We start from the raw sequence: 17,920 nt of genomic DNA, 5'->3' as shown, positions 1-17,920 counted from the left end.
TCATTTTCTTTTCAACGAAACATTGTGAATGTAGTGGCATCACATAAATATTTATCAAACTCTATAATTCTTCCAACTGTAATGATAAATAAAAGTATCTTTCAATGCGCGTACAAAACACTAGCAGAAAACTATTCTTAGAAGACTGAAATGAGATGCAAGCTATCTGAAGTCATGAAGGGCAATAAATTTATCCCACTGCCTTCTGGAGAGTCACAAATATATGAAGCAATCATCTCGTAGTTTTGGTAATCTATGCTTACTAGGCTTCTGAAATTTCACTGTTTGATAATTGAAGAAATAAAAATAACACAGCATCACTTGGCACTGGAGAAATGAGGACCCTGACCTGATGGGCCGGTAAGCCATTGAAAATGTCTATTATTAAATATAAAAGGAAGATTGCATACAGAGAAAAGACCACACAAGTTTCCAGGTTGTAGGTTTGCCAACCTATTTGGATTACCTCTTTATGACTGTCATTATTTTTATCATTTACTAGTTATACAGAGACAATAGCAGCTCAAGCCTGATACACAATGAAGACATAATTACAGATTTGAACCAACAGTCCTCTATTAAAACCTAAATTGCCCTCAGCCCACAGTTAAAAAAAGGTCAAGAAGAAGACACCTGCTGAAAAGAGTAATAAAAACATGCTGTTTATTATTTTCCAGAAGCTTCTAATCCTTTCTCCCACCTGGCTTACATGACAACTACAAAGTTCATCAGAATGTTGTGGAGTGTTCAGGACTCCTCAGGGAAACATTATTTTTTTTCTCTCAAATAATTATGGTCAAAAAGTCTAGAGCCAAGAAAAGTTTCTGCTGTCACTTGATCATAACTTCATTTCTCTCCCTTGCTTGCTCAGGTCTCATGGGGAAAATTTAAGGGCAAGCCTGGGCCAAAATGCAACAAGCCTCTTTTGATTTAGATGGGCGAGAGTAAAAATATCATCTCAAAAAAAGAATGAGGACAGGGATGCCATTTAGTCTGGATTTGTCATGAATTAAACCAAAGCCACCAAATAACATCTGTCTTATTCCTCAACATGTCAAAGAGAAGTTGCCAGGCAAGTTTGGGAAAAAGAAGTTGGAAAGATTAACAACCAGCTATAAGATAAAATATGATTTCTGGTGCTTCTGAATATGAGACAAAGGAAGTTTATATTATATTACATTATGCAAGAGATATGCTACTATAGGAATTAATCACCCTTTTAAATATCTGGGCTGAAGCTAATGGTTTCTTCAATGACAAAGAGCTCCTCATTTTTTCAAACAATACAGCTCTTCCATTTCTTGGTTTTCACTCACCCACTCTTGACTATGATGATTAGAGGCTTTGGACAAAGAATATTAGACTCAGCACTGGCAGCTAGTGAACAGTTCTTCAATTGAACTAAATAAATAAAAGCTACTCAATTGTTTGCCTTTATTCTTTCCTTGGCCACCAGCTGAAATAAATCCTTCTCCCTCTAGAAGATCAAAGTACAGCATCACAATGTTTGAGAGCTTGAAAGATCCTGGTACCCTACCATCGGCCAAACCCCTCTTTTTTCTGTCTGAGGACACAGGTTCTTTAGCAAAACAAAAGTTGTTCTTTTATGGTAGAAAAGATGTGGAGAGCATAAGTTAGATGGGAAGATACAGTCCTCTGGTTTCACTTTCTTACCTTGTTAAAAAAGCATTGGATAATTATTATCTCTCTACTGTTGGTACTGAAATGTACCAACACATCAAAGCAGTATTACAGAAACTGCAGTAGAGATTGCTAGAAAATATCAGTATTCAAAATATTTTAAAACTTAAAATCTGTTTTAGAAATATTTAAATAAGAAAAATATTTTATCAGTCAAGGTCCTGGCAGAAAACAGATGGCACACTCAAACTGGGTAATGAGGAACATTTAATAAATAGACTATTTACAAAGGAGTGGGCAGAGTTTAAAGAAGTAAAACAAAACAAAACAAAAATAGTGTCGTAATCTAGGGCTAGTAACAGCAAGGAACTGTTCCACCCATCTGTGGAGGGATGCATCCAGCCCACAGTAACCAGTGTAGAAAGAGTCAAAGGGATGAATATCCTGACCTGGCTCTCCTTCTTTCTTAGGTTCCCATTGGTGGAACCAAGAGATGTCAGACAGCAAAAGAGCCCACTGGCCAAAAAGCCTCTGGGCACAGAGCAGAAAGAAGAGTGAGAATGGATCAGAGAGGCAAATGGGAGAGAGTTAGCCCAACTCTGAACACGATTATAAAGTTATACTTATTTATTATTGGAATAATCTGTTCACAATATATAGAAATTAGCTTGACAGTAATTAATGTGTCTCAAATACCTTTTCGGTTTGTCTATCTGAATTCAAAGTGTACATTAGGTCTCCTAAGTCTCTGCTAGGTCTATCAAAACATTTGGAATAAAGAGCATTCTGTGCTCAGATATGCTGGAGAAATGTTTCAAGAGCCTCAGTGCAAAGAAAGGTAAATGTAAATGCATAGGCACGGGCCTGTGAGTCTTTCCTCATAACACCAGATATAGAAAAAAAAGAAAATAACTGTCCATACCTCCTGGGATGACTGAATGAGACCATCTGTTTAAAGCAGTGTGCACAGAACTTGGCACACAAACAGATGGTGCTCAGTAGATGTTAACCACTGCTGCCACTGTTACCAGCATCATCTCTTGCATCTGCATTCTGACCTGTCAGATACCCATTTCTTACACTTCTGCCTGTTTGTGTCACTAGTGCCTGGTGCAGTGCCTTACACATAGGCAGTGCTCGATTAATGTAAGCTTATGAAGACAATTGTGAGAGCTGTCACGTGCTATGTCATGCTATTCTATTGTTCAGTAATTATTCACTCCTCTCTCCCTTTCCCCTGTTGGAGGAGTGTCATAGTCAGTTTAAGTTGCTATAAAAAAAAAAACCTTACAACCTTACACTGGGTAATTTGTAAGCAACAGAAATATATTGCTCACAGTTCTAGAAGCTGGGAAGTCCAACATCAAGGTGCCAGCAGTGTTTGGAGAGGGCTTGCTCCTCACAGATGCTGCCTGCTAGGTGTCCTCATATGGCAGAAGAGCAGGGGAGCTAGCTGGAGCCTGTTTTATCAGGGCATTAATCCCATTCACGAGGGTGGAATCTTCGTGATTCAATCCCTTCCCAAAAGCCCCACCTCTTAACACTATACATTTGTTATTAGGTTCTAACATGAGCTATGAGGGGTGGGGGAGGGGTGCACAAACATTTAGGACATAACAAGGAATATTCTTTTCTGCTCCACAGTGCTGAGTTTGGCCCCATGACCTGCTTTGGCCAATGGAAAGTGAGCCAGTTTTGAATAGATACTTTAAGAGGCACTGCAAGTTTGCACCAGCCCTCTTGAGCTCCTGCCTCTCACTTTGAGAACATCATATCCCAGATAGTGAGTACTCCTTCAGCCTGGGTTCTGGAATGAAAAGACATGTGGATCAGATCCTAAGTCAATCCAGTCTGCCACAGTGCTGTTTCAGCTGTTCCCCCAGAGTCTGGGGCAAGAAAAAAATATTTCCATAAGCCAGTGAAGTTTCACAATTGTTTGTTATATAGCAATAACCCAGAAAAATCTGACAAATACATATGTGTAACAAGGTTATGATGGCATGCTGGACTGGAAAAGAAGGACAATAACATGAAATTTTGAGTCCATTACACTAGAGTTCAAATCTCAGCTCTGAACAGCTACCAGATGTGTGACCCTGTCTGGGCAAGCCTCAGTGATCCCTACCTTGTTGCATTACTGTGACAATTACAAATAGTACCTAAAATGTACCTTGCACAGTGCCTGGCACATAATAGGTACTTGATAACTGGAAGAAATAATCCAATTAGTAATAAAGGATGGCAAAATATCTTCCCAATTATCCATGATTAAAGTGCCAATTGGAAATTTTTCATCTCAATTAAATATTTCTTTAATTAACCAGATAAATAGAAAGGGTGAAACCATTGATCAAGTTTGTACCTTCCAAAATATTTATAGAAAATTACATTTTGAGATATATACTGTGCTCTTTCTAAAATGGTGTAAAACCTCTGAGTAGTCAAAAATATGAATCCCTGTTGTGTCAAAGAATAAGAATGCATTCTTTGTGAAGGAAAAATACGATTAAATTGCATCTTCCAGACTAGTGATTTAAATTGTGATCAAATCCACTATAGTTGGGGAGGCCCCCATTTAATCCATTTACTGTGAACATTATTAAACATATATTAAATGCTTGTGCATAGCAAAGAATTTCAAAGGTATGGTTTGATTCGCAGAGCTCTAAGAAAGTCAAGAACATTCTCTTTGAAGCAATTGTGAATGGGAGTTCACTCATGATTTGGCTCTCTGTTTGTCTGTTGCTGGTGTATAAGAATGCTTGTGATTTTTGTACATTGATTTTGTATCCTGAGACTTTGCTGAAGTTGCTTATCAGCTTAAGGAGATTTTGGGCTGAGACGATGGGGTTTACACTGTTGGTGGGACTGTAAACTAGTTCAACCATTGTGGAAGTCAGTGTAGCGATTCCTCAGGGATCTAGAACTAGAAATACCATTTGACCCAGCCATCCCATTACTGGGTATATACCCAAAGGACTATAAATCATGCTGCTATAAAGACACATGCACACGTATGTTTATTGCGGCATTATTCACAATAGCAAAGACTTGGAACCAACCCAAATGTCCAACAATGATAGACTGGATTAAGAAAATGTGGCACATATACACCATGGAATACTATGCAGCCATAAAAAATGACGAGTTCATGTCCTTTGTAGGGACATGGATGAAATTGGAAATCATCATTCTCAGTAAACTATCGCAAGAACAAAAAACCAAACACCGCATATTCTCACTCATAGGTGGGAATTGAACAATGAGATCACATGGACACATGAAGGGGAATATCACACTCTGGGGACTGTGGTGGGGTGGGGGGAGCGGGGAGGGATAGCATTGGGAGATATACCTAAGGCTAGATGACGAGTTAGTGGGTGCAGCGCACCAGCATGGCACATGTATACATATGTAACTAACCTGCACAATGTGCACATGTACCCTAAAACTTAAAGTATAATAATAAAAAAAAAGAAAGTCAAGAACATAAAACTACTAAATGTATCAACTAATCCCAGCATACACACTTCCACAAAACATTAAGCACTACAATTACTGAAGCATAGAAATAGATTTTTATCCATTCGGAAGGCATTCAGAAAAATATCACCACTAATAAATAATAAAAGATTATTTGAATTGTAAAATTTGACTAGAAAAGAAATTTATCTAAGACATGAGCTCAAGTATCTGCCTTTTAAAAAACTAAGAAAAAATATTTTACAGAAAAGATATATATAATCTGGTAGCCACTGTCTGAGGAGCTCAAGTAAATTTAGGGTAGTGTTTGCAAACCACATGAGGAGGAAATGCTTGAAAAGCCTAAATGAAGATTCCCGGGCTCCCACTCCAGACCTACTGAATGACGATAATTGGGAATTTGGCCTGGGAATCTGCATTTGTTAACAAACCCTGTAGATGACTCATGTGTACTCTAAGTTTGAGAGCTGCTAACCAATGCAAACACTTGGGTAATCTTTGTCAGCCAACTTAAAGGTTTTAAAAGACTTAAATCCAAGCAAGTCTAGGCCATTCTATGCCCACAGGTTAAATAAAGACAACAGAGTCTAGACCTGAGACTCAGTAATGGCTACAGGGCTAAACAGCTTTTCATTCTGCTGGCAACTCAAACCATATTTTTTTTAGCACTTGGAAGCAAAAAATTGATGGATCATTCAACAGTAGTAAAAATTCAGTGGCACCAAGGTGACACCTTCTCTTATTGAACATACAATTGCCAAACTTCTCTTCAGTGTTAGCACCACCTGGAAACAAATCCAGATGGTCACTCCTCATCAGCTCCTTGGGCTTAGATTCTAAAATCTACAAGTGCTGAGAGGAGAGAAAGAAAGATGGTTAAGATTGTATGGACACTCTAGTCTTCTTAAAAAAAATCTCAACAAGCCCAAACCTTTTTTCCTGTAATACAGAGAAAAAACCCAGTTGTGTTTTCTAAGAGAAGGGAACAGAATGAAATAATAAAGGAGGAAAGACATTGCTACTATAATTTTAAAACTATGAAAAAACATCAGAAACATGAAAGAATTGAAAGGAAAGGGCAATGGATTAGGATTGAGGAGATGTGGGTTCAAGATACAGCTTATATCCTTTAAAGCCTATGTGACCTTATAAACTCACTTAGCTACTCTTCAACTCAAAGGAGTTAATGTTTATAGGAAAGAGGTTTTTAAGTCACAAAGCAATGTCAAAATGTAAGTGGCATTAGTATCATTGATGACAAAAGTTTTTATTTTTATTTTTAATTATTATTTTTTTAAGACAGCGTGTCACTCTGTCACCCAGGCTAGAGTGCAGTGGTGTGGTCACCACTCACTGCAGACTTGACCTCCTGGGTTCAAGTGATCCTCCTTCCTGCCTCAGCTTCCTGAGTCACTGTGACTACAGGCGTGCACCACCACACCCAGATAATTTTCTGTATTTTTTTTTTTTTTTTAGGAATTCCACCATACTGACCAAGCTAGTCTGGGACTCCTGAGCTCAAGAGATACACTTGCCTTGGCCTCCCAAAGTGCTAGAATTACAGGCATAGGCTACCATGACTGACCAATAAAAGTTTTTTTAATATATATATAATTCAGAATACAATGGAGCAAATGCAGATACGTATCTTTTCTAAATAACACCCAAGGTAGAAACACTGTAGCAAGTTACCTGTGGGAAAATCTAGGCCACTAATACCAAATTGTTCCAACTTTTCACTGTATCAGGTAAACCAAAATGCAACTTCCTGATTTTAAAAAAAAAAGAAAAAAACCTCAGTATGGCTTGATGTAGTCATCTGTATAGCAGTGGTGAATGATTCAGCTCATACTTTTCCTATGACCTACCTATCCACATTTACCTGAGTCTCAAAGCTAAGTTCATCACTGGAGAGCCATATAAACAATGGGGCTATAAAGAAAACAGGAAGGTTAATCAATGACCAGCACCATTAGTCAATAAGTCCAGGGTTGCAAGGATTTTGAAACCTGTTTAATACTTTATTGACTTACAGATTTTAGCTCAACACCAAATTTCAGTGTAGTTGGGTACATGCAGGGAAATTCCAACTTATCTTTAGATGTGTGAGAGCAAGGTATACTGCAGTTACACAAAGCTAAGTTTGAAAATAGGCTCCACATTCTATGTCTTCTCTGAACCTCAGTTCATGAGTTGGTAATTATCAGCCCCAGCTCATGGTGCTGTTGGAAGAATTAAATAAGATCTGTCTATAAAACCCTCTGTACAGTGTCTGGCACATTGTAAGTACTCGATGAACTCATTGTTATTAGTAGTAAAGTATTAGTACAGAGTAGGCACTCAGTAAAGGCTAGTTCCCCTCTTTTATCATTTTGTGCTTAAAAGGCAGAAATATATTCCAACTAAATTATAAGGAATACATAATAACATACAGTATGTGGCAAAGTCAGGGGTGAAATTTCCTAATATAGACTTTTTAATCTACTATAGCCACGGAGACCAATTTTATAATTTACACTGGCCATAATTAGAGCCTATGTATACAAAAGTTATAGTTTAAACTTGAGATGGTACATGTAGCTTTCTTGCTACCTAATATTTAATATAGTTTCTTAAATCATTTTTTCTGGTATTGTGGATATACAGTTAGTATGTCTATAGTGATACCTTCCTACCACCTGTTCTAATCATCATCATCATCACTGGGACTGTTATGAACTGAATGTATGTGTCCCCTACAAATTCATACTCTGAAGCCCTAACCCCCTATGTGATGCTATATAGAGATAGAGTCTTTGGGAGGAAGTTAGGTTTTGATGAGGTCATGAGGGTACAGCCTTAATGATGGCATTAGTGCCCTTACGGGAAGAAAAGCACCAAAGCCTGCTCTCTTTGCCATGTGACATGGAAAGAAGTTGGTAGTTGGCAAGCCCAGAAGAAGGCCTTCATCTTGACTGTGCTGGTGCCCTGATCTTGGACTTCCAGCCTCCCGAACTATGAGAAATAAATGTCTGTTGTTTAAACTACCTAGTCTGTGGTATTTTGCTATAGCAGCTTGAGCTGACTAAGGGGAAAAAAGCACTCTACAAATATTGTGGACAAGTATCTAATGTATGTAAATGTGCTCTGAAAATGGTAAGGTGCTAATATTACCATTTAAACAAGACAGGGAAGACACAGGCCCTCACTTGAGATGTCTACAATCTAAAATCTAGAAAAATGCACAGTGCTAACAAAGGAACAGAAACACACACATACACAAAGAGATGCATGTGTCCAGGCACATGAACATTTTAAAGACAAATAGCGACAATAACAAGTATTTTAAAAAACCTGTATCTGTATCTATGAATGAATAATTTAAAAAGTAAGTCAGAAGCGATGAAAATACTGGAACAATGTTGCCCCATATTTTTTAATGTTTTGTAAATATCTCCTTACAAATAAATTCTTAAAATCAATTTTTATAAATAAAATTCATAGCAAGACTCATTTATTCCATTAAGAAAACATTTGTAGAAGCACACCTCCTTATATTAATGGAGCTACAGAGTGCAAATGCCCATCATTCAAGGACCAGATGAACCCATGAAAGATAAAAGACCAAGCAACTAATGCAATATCACTTCTGCAAAGCCTTACTGTAAAGGGAAAGATTCCTATATAAGATCCATTTGAAAATCCATTTCACACTTCTAACTTAAAGCCAATTCAAATGTAATTTACTTTATCAGAGTCCTTCATTTAGAGAGGGTCAGGAGTACAATCAACAGAAGTGACAATTACTTAGGCTTATCAAAAGATGACCTGGTAGCAATAGTGCTGAGCAAGAAAATAACAAAACAAAACAAACCAGGACTCCCACTGGAAACCACAGCTGTTAGTTTATAAACAGATCTTCTAACAAACCAGAACATCCTAAGAAAAAGCATCTATGTGCGTCGTCTCTGCACCAAATGCAACCTCATTTGTCATTCTATTTTAGTGTCCTAACATCCCTTTACTTTTCCACTGTTGACCATTTAAAAGAGGTGAAACAACACTCTTGGCACAAAATATTACACTTACCACTCTCGTCGTCTATACTGAACCTTCCAAGACCACTGCCATCCCTGATGGAGTACTGGATCTCTCCATCCCTTCCGGAGTCTTCATCTCGAGCAGTCACCTGCAGCACGCTTGTTCCAATGCGTGAGTTTTCCTTTACAGATCCAACAACAGCAAAGTCTGGGAAATAGGGAGTGTGGAGGTTTTCATTGACATCCACCACTTCCACCTCAACAAAGGAAACAGATGACAGAGAGACAGGCCGCCCTTTGTCTTTGGCCCGCACAGTAAGGTTATAGAACTGCTGTTTCTCATAATCAAGCTCTTTGCTCAAGCGGATGGCACCACTTGCTTTATCTATTTCAAATCTCCCATTATAGTCATTGACCAAAGAATAGCGCACTTGACCCCCCAGTCCAAGATCTGGATCATGGGTCTCAAGCCAAGCAATGACAGTGCCAACAGGGAGATCTTCAAGAACCTTCACACTATAGCTACTGGGAATGAAAGCTGGGGAGCAGTCATTGACATCATCTAAAAAAACTTTAAGAGTGACAACTGAAAACAGCTGCTGACCACTCTCTGCCTTGTCCCTGGCTTCTATTTTCAAAGAATAATTGGCTTTGGATTCCCGGTCCAACTGGTCGGCTACATAAACGATTCCAGTTGAGCTATTGATGGCAAACTGCTGTGTATCTGTCAAGACTGAGTAAGTCACTTCACCATTAGAACCTAAGTCTTTGTCTCTGGCTTCCACTTGAATGATTTCAGTACCAATGCCTGAACTTTCAAGAATGTTAACTGAGTAACTGTCTTGAATAAAAACTGGGCTATTGTCATTAGCATCCTCCACATTGATGGTCAGCAGTCTCCATGACGATTTCTGTGGATTACCTAAGTCATAGATGGTGATATTAAGGAGATAGAGGTCTGTGTGTTCTCGATCCATGGGCATAAGGACTTTAAGCTGCCCAGTCTCCATATCAATATTAAAGCAACTATCCGTATTTCCATCTGATATTGTAAATAGCACTTTTCCATTGAAGCCAGAGTCGGCATCATAGGCTTTAATCTTCAGAATGTTAGCACCAACTGGCAGATCCTCCTTTACAGCCACATCAGAAGGAAAAGACTTGTCAAAATATGGTCCCTGTCTATTAATTGAATAAAAGTCAAGAAATCCATCTTCCAGATTCAGTTTCCCATTTGCTTTTGCCTTAATGAGTAGTTTCTCTGCCAGCTTTTGAGCCACACGAGTTTCTCTGCAACTGAAGCTCTTTGAAGACACTTTCCCATGTAGGACTGAAATGTTAATAGACATGGGGTCTGCAAGATTCTCTCCATCAGTTGCTGTAATTCTGAGGGCAAAATTGCCATTTTTAATGCCAGAATTTGTCAGTGATTTTTTAAGCTGTAAAACACCAGAATCTGGGTTTAAATAAAAGAAGCCAAGTTCATTTCCAGAAATGATTTTGTACTTTACAAGTTCAAGTTCATCGATATCGATCGCTGAGACTGCTGTGATGTGACCACCAACTGGAAAGTCATATGAAATAACTCCCTGGCAAGCCACTTTTTCAAAGAGAGGGCTGTTGTCGTTGACATTTCCTATTCGAATAGTCACATTGACCTCACTTTCATGGCGGTATGGTGAACCCCAGTCAGAGGCTCTAACAATGAATCTGTAAATTTCTGGGGAGGATTCAAAATCCAGTTCTTCAGTTGTGCTAATAACACCTGTAAACTGATTAATGACAAATGGTAACAAATTCAGGCTAGCGATACTATAGGTGATGTACCCATTTTCTCCTTTATCCTTATCAGAAGCTGAAACTGTTAGAACGCTGGTTCCCACTGGGACACTTTCATTCACATAAGCATCATACAGTGGTTGCTGAAATTCTGGGGTGTGGTCATTTGCATCTTCTATGCTGATGGTGACCTGTGCTTTTAAATCTCCTTCCTTGTTTGTCACCTCCAGTTTATAAACCTCCTTCTTAACAGTATTCAGTGGCCGTGCTGTAACAATCAGACCCGACCGAGGATTAATTTTAAAGTACACTGCATCCTCACCAGGAGATAATTTGTATTCCACATCTATCGGTTCAGGACTTAATTTTACTATAGCAACCACGACACCAGGAGGGGAAAATTCACTTATGCTCACATCGTACACTTCTTTTTCAAATCTAATGGGGACAGTGTCTCTTGTGGGGTTGCCAATGTAGACTGCCTTTAATGCTGAACATTTTTGAGGAGATCCCTTGTCTTTTGCTTGAAGAGTGAGATTGTAGCCATAGGGAAAGCTCTCCCAGTCAATCTGCTTCCTCTCCTTAATCTTGTACTCATTCAACCACTTTCCTTCCTTAGCCAGGAAGAACTGATCTAAAGGATCCCCAGCCACAATGGAAACAGATTCGATCTCTCCATTCGCTCCATCATCTAAGTCATCAACTGTCACCACTGCATATGTTGGCTCTTTTTCCAACGAGAAAGGAACATGAGTGACTACATGGATTGTTGGGGCATGTTCATTTATGCGCTCAATGTGAACATAAAGCTTTGCAGTACTGCTCACTCCATTGTTCCCATACAGTTTCATTCCCCGGTCCACAGCCAAAATTTCCAGATCATACCTATTCTTTTCATCATAATTTAATCGACCACTTAAGGAGATGACACCACTCGTGGGGTGAACTGAAAAGAGATCAACTTTATTTTTAAAGTAGTAGTAGAATTCTCCATTGGAACCAATATCTGCGTCTGTTGCAGTCACCTGGGCAACACTAGTCCTTAGAGGTGTGCTTTCTGCTATGGTAACAGAGTATGTTGTGGGTGAAAACAAAGGTCTCAGATCATTCATATCTAAAACCTGTATATTCACTTTGGTCCATGCTTCCAAATCCTCTCCTCTGACAGAACCTTTTACTATCAATAAATAATTATCCTGGATTTCCCTATTTAATATGGCAGAATTGCCACCTTTAGTTCTTATTCTGAGAAAACAGAAATCTGCAATGATGACTTCCTCTGCTTTGAAAAAGCCTTCCTCGTCTCCGGACACTATTCTGTATTTGATATCCCAGGATAGATCTATTAAGGTGATGCCCATTCTACTCTGGCTGTTGACGTAGGTCCTTGCTGCTGAGTTCTCATACACGGTAGCATTATAAATGGAATGTGTGAAGTGGAAGCCCAGGGGTCCAGTCCCTGGCAGCCCCTGGGAGACAGTGGCCAAAAGCTTGAAAAGCAGGAGGATGAGGCAACAAGCAGGAGGCCGTGTGCCCACACAGTGTCCCATAATTATATCCATCACATCATACTTCCATCCTGGAGGGAAGAAAGAGAGAGAGAAAAGATAAATTAACCATCCTAGAAGAAGGGGGAGAGTGGGAAATAACTATTAGGAAGCCATGCTTTTTAAAACTTTATCACAAAATCTTTTTACTAAAACAGCAATATAAGAAAAAATTAGAAACCTTGCCACTACTAGGTAATAAGGAACTTAAGATTACTAGAATTTAGCCCAATCTTGTAAGAATTGTTTTCAAGTGACACTTTGTTTTAAATAACACTTTTATACTACTGACAGCGTTGTTCATTGGTACAAGATTTCTTACATTCTGAAGGTCAATTTAGAGATATATTGGAAGCCTTAAGTGCATTTACCTTTGACTTAGAACTGCCTTTGCAGTAATTATCCTATAGAAACATTTAGACAATTATCTGTTATAGCACAGTTTAAAGTAAAAAAAAAATGAAGAGATGCTAAATGCCTATCAATAGAGGACTGAATAATTCATGGTGTATTCATAAAATAAAATATTATGCAGTCATTAAAAATAGAGACATAAAAGATGTGCATTTTCAGATGCAGTAAGATGTAATGCTAAGGAAAAAAGGTCATCAAACAGTATATATAGCATGAGTTCTATTATTATATAAACACCTATATGTGCAAATGAATTTTTATATTTAAAAAGGATTAACTGTGTTTTGGGATTTGGTGGCATATTTGCATTTTCTAACTTTTCTTCAATGAACATTGTTCATCAATAGTTACATAATTACTTTTATAATTATAATCTTTTTAAAATGCTTCAAGGTATTACCATCTTTTATTGTGCTTACTTTTAAACTGATCAAGGTTTATGAATAATGCAATGCCATGAGAATGAACAAAGTGTCAAGTTACAAAGCAGAGACAATAATCCCTAAGGAGTTATATGACTGGAGTGATATCCAGAACTATTCAGAACAAGGGAGGTAAGAGTGATTACTTGCAAGAAAAACTTTAGAAATTACAAGAGATACTTCCAATTACTTTCATCAATGACTATTAAATTTGGACAGTTTCTACAGTTTCATGACTATGTGGGTTAAAAGATACAAACTTTTTCCTATTTTAGCCAGTAAAATCAATCAAGGAGAAGGGAGAAAGGAGGTATTCAACAAGAAAAAGTTAAGTCTATTCATACCCAAAGGATCAGATTTTTAGAACCCCCAAATATGAGTTCTTCCATCCAGTCTTATACTCTGCAAGCCCTTGACATTCTCCTTTTCTTCCTTTACAGGGAACGTGAAGATGAGAGGAGATGGAAAATGAATTTCTTTGCAGGCATGTAATGATGTAGGCACTGTGTCAGTCATTTTTCCACTTTGTTGTATTTAATCTTCATGATAATCCTAAGTAATAGGTACTATTTTACCCAATGACATATTAGAAAACTGAGGGTCAGAGAAGTTAATCTATTTAGTTGAGACATTTGCCCAAACAATGTTCCCCAGCCGGCAAGTAGTAAAGCAGGATCTCAGACCTTAATCTTTCTCTAAAATCCATGCTTTTCCCCATCACACAATCACTCTCTCAAAATTACCTGCAAGCAAGAATGAAATAATTAAGGATCCTAGAAGCATATATGACATAATTTAATTCTAATGAAATAGTCAACATATGTCATTGATTTTAAAAAGTACAACCCATCCCTGCCCCCAGCATATCTTTTTGGTTATCTCCTCTCTGGTTTTAATGTAGTTCTAGTTATTGGCTGCAAACTGAAAAAAAAAAAAATCCCTACAGGAGTTTAACATATTAAAATATTACAAATTGTATGGTTTATAAAACCCTTTCATATCCAAGGTTAGCAAGGCACATATTATTATAACCTTTTTGTTAATGATAATATAAAACCTCATTTTCCTATCTCGACTTTATTAGTTAAGTCTAAATAGACTTAACTTTTTCTTGTTGAATACCTCCTTTCTCCCCTCTCCTTGATTAATTTTACTGGCTAAAATAGGAAAAAGTTTTTACCTTTTAACCCACATAGTCATGAAACTGTGGAAACTGTCTAAATTTAATAGTCATTGATAGAGTCTAGCAGACTCTAGATTAGAGCTCAGGCTCTCTCCATACCCCACAAGGCTTTTCTTTTTTTTTTTTTTTCAGCTCCACCTTACAGGAGACTCTCCTGAAGTGAAACCCTGAGCATGCAAATGCTGGTTCTGCCTGGGAATGTAAGATATCTTGCTGCTATCATTTGCTGAAGTATCCCGTAGAAAACATGGAGTTACAGATAGAAAAAGTCAAGTTTAATTTAGGGACTTTACAGGCATTAATAGACAGCAAAAATGAAAAGCTGAAAAAGGGAGTAAGCGTCTATAAAGGAAGTTAATTTCACATGCAGTTCTTTAGAGACATTGCATATGCTAAGTAAGTGGAACAGGCAGCCTGTGGACAGCAGCTCTGGTAACTAGGGCAGGGACCAAGTCAGATGGCCGCTGGTGACCCTGCTCAGTAAGTTCCTAGAAAGACATCACTGGGCTGCTGGTCATTTCAAAGGAAACTTTATTAAGAAAATGATACATTTGGGGTTTTCTGGATGCAGTAGGTTCAAATGTCCTACCTAGCAGAGTGGCGAAGCCCACAGTGTGATTGGGGTGTCTACTTTGTAGAGCACAGTCAACTGAAATATGGGAGCAAAAGAACCTCTCTGTAGTGATCACAGAAGTACACTAGCAGAAGCTTTAATAGTATTTTGTATGCCTCAGGAGTCTCTATTTCATCATCTCAAAAGGCTCCAAAGCAGTGGAGACATTTTTAGGCTCACTGTGGACATGTGAACACGGTAAAGTAAGCGAGTCTCTCGTAAGGGAATGTGAAGGTTAGGTTACACTCTCTCAAGGTGAAATACTGGGATCACTCCCAGAATGCTCCAGAGAAATACAAATAAAGTTTCTGCCTTATTTCCCACTCACTATCCTGTGCTGAGAAGACTTCCTGTAACAGTAATTTTGCCGATCCTTAGCCCAAGGAGTCTAGACTCCATGGTCATCAGAGAGGAAAACTTCCCCCATGAAAAATACAGTTCAACTGAACTTTTCTGAGTCTGCCCCCTCATTCACACTTTGAACTTCTACTTAAGGAAACCTGATGGGAAGTACATCACTCTATTCCCAGCATCCAGTACAGCACCCACCACACAGGAAGCAAACAACACTGGTTTGTTGAACAGAACCCTAAGTACTAATGTAACCAGAGGCCCAGATGCCTTTAATATGCTCCGTTTCCTATTCCCCAACAAAAAGCACATCTTACTTCAGGAAACTGAATCAAGAAATTATACAGGTTCAAAGGAGCCTTAAAGATCATCTGTTCCAATCTCCTGAGTTTACAGATGAAGAAACCAGGGTCCATAAAATGAAGAGATTCCCCTAATGCCAGGACTCAAGTTTCCCAGGTTCAGAGCTAATACCAAACTGAAACACGCTTCAATTGAATTAGTTTTCATTAAGTTACATTAAAATTTTAGAGCTGTGGTTTATCATTATTTTGGAGTCATCTTCCTTTTCTGACACCATATTACTCTCCCTGGTGTTATTTCTTCCTCTAAGTAGTTAACTGTTTATAAATAAACATTAAAGTGCCCTAAGGGGATAGTTACTTTTTACAAATCTTTCTGTGAATCTTTCAAGGCAAAGAATGCTATCATAATATGAAAATGTATCATTCAATTTAACTATTCAAAAATTGGTGCTTTTGCATAGTGAGTTTTTCTTTCAGCAAGATACATTGCTGGAATTGTTTTCTTAAAAACCGGAATCGGTGGTCTTAAATGCAAATAGAAAATATTTCAAAACAAGCATAAATGGAGTAGTATTATCACATACTGAAATTCAGACCTACCACCAAAAAACTGAGCAGGACTAAGTTTGTCAAATTCAGTTGTTGAAAACAAAATATCTTTTAAGGCTTTTGTATCTTTATTGTGGCAAAGGAAAAAAAAAAAGCCCTATCTGGCACAAATTATTTTAAAAAGCCTTGCAGTTTTCCCACTGATTAGGAAATAAATGAATGCTAGAAGCTAGGAATGTTGTAAAATTTTGCAAAGCAAATAATAGAATTGAATTTTGTCTTCTTTTCTTTTTAGCATGCCAAGACAACTGTTGAAGTTTTTTTTAAAAATAATATTGCCCTTTCCACATTGAAGCCAAGCTATTTGTGAAGCCAATATGATACAGTATTTTAGATGCTCTGCACATTGATTTATTCTACTGCTTCTAGATTATTTTAAAGAAAGCACTTAGTTCCCAACCTCAGAGCCTATTTTCTACGACTTACTAACATAATCAATAATTTTTGATATAATCTCCAAAGAGATCATCAAGCCATCAATCTTTGAGACATTTATTTTTCAGAGGCATTCCTGGTGTGCCTCCCCATCCTGCCCTTCTGCTCTGTTAGGATGGATCTTACTGTGGGACTCAGAAGGGCATGCAGATTTTTCTTTCCATGGATGAATAAATACCAGAGACCTTGGGGGCAGGGAACAGCAATCACAGAGACTACCTCTCTGGGACAGCCTTGGCTCTGTAGGGTACCTATGCTTGCTTTGGTAACCTGATAAAGCTGTTTTCTGCCAACATTAATCTGGTCTGCTTAAATTGGTGAGACTTCTGAACACTACCAAAGGTATTTTAAAAATATATTTCATTTTCATTCCCTCTCTTCCTATCTTTTCTATTTTGAGGGGATTTTGTTAGCCAAATCGGGAGGGTACTCAAGAAATTTGCTATGTTAGGCTGTAAAGCAAAGAACAAAGTCAATATAGAGTCCCCTTGACAGGAGTCCTTGAGGAAGGTGACCCGTGTTCAAACTGCAAATGGAAGATCAGTCTCTGCTCTGGTGTATGCAGTGCCAGAGCCAATGCCAACACAAAGGCAGAGCATGCAATGGTTACAGAACATGCACCTTGGCACTTGACTGCCTGCATTTGAATCCTATCTATGCCATTTACTAGCTTTACAACCCCAGGCAAGCTATTGAACCTCTCTGCACCTCAGTTTATTCTTCTATAAAATGAGAACAATAATGCCTACCGAATAGGATTTGAGTTAATAAATGGAAAATACTTAAAACACTTCATGGCACATTGTATATAATTGTTAGCTATTATCATTAATAAAGGCAGATTTTAGAGAAGACAAAATCTGGGAATCACAAGACAGGGAGTAAAATTTACAACCTACTCTACGTTTTATTTTCCAGTAGAAAAAAACACCCATCAAAGGTAAAGGAAAGAATGTCCTTTCTTTACTAAAAGCAAAGGAAGAACACTATGTTAGCCTCAAAGGTCAGAGAAACCTGAGTTGAATCCAGGACTTGCCATCTAGTGGCTGGGTGACTTTGGGGCTAATATTGAAAGCTTCATTAAATCTCAGTTTCTCTATCTTTAAAATGGGGAGTATA

At 38.0% G+C, this 17,920-nt stretch overlaps 1 protein-coding gene across 10 annotated transcripts in view; it reads right to left on the bottom strand.

Moving 5' to 3' along the window:
* FAT3 (FAT atypical cadherin 3) overlaps nucleotides 1-17,920 on the bottom strand; it is a 671,656-nt gene that overhangs the window by 531,877 nt on the left and 121,859 nt on the right. For 9 of the 10 annotated variants that reach the window (XM_017017179.3, XM_017017178.3, XM_017017180.2 and 6 more), the window contains one exon: nucleotides 9,193-12,501. The exons of the other annotated variant lie outside the window; for it this stretch is intronic. In XM_017017179.3, coding sequence (XP_016872668.1) covers nucleotides 9,193-12,484 — 3,292 coding nt within the window. In that variant the 5' untranslated portion in view covers nucleotides 12,485-12,501. The remainder of the gene's footprint in view (nucleotides 1-9,192; nucleotides 12,502-17,920) is intronic. 10 annotated transcript variants of the gene reach the window in all.

Source organism: Homo sapiens, chromosome 11 (assembly GCF_000001405.40).
Source record: "Homo sapiens chromosome 11, GRCh38.p14 Primary Assembly".
Taxonomy (NCBI): domain Eukaryota; kingdom Metazoa; phylum Chordata; class Mammalia; order Primates; family Hominidae; genus Homo; species Homo sapiens.
This window is presented reverse-complemented; position numbering and strand designations above follow the sequence as displayed.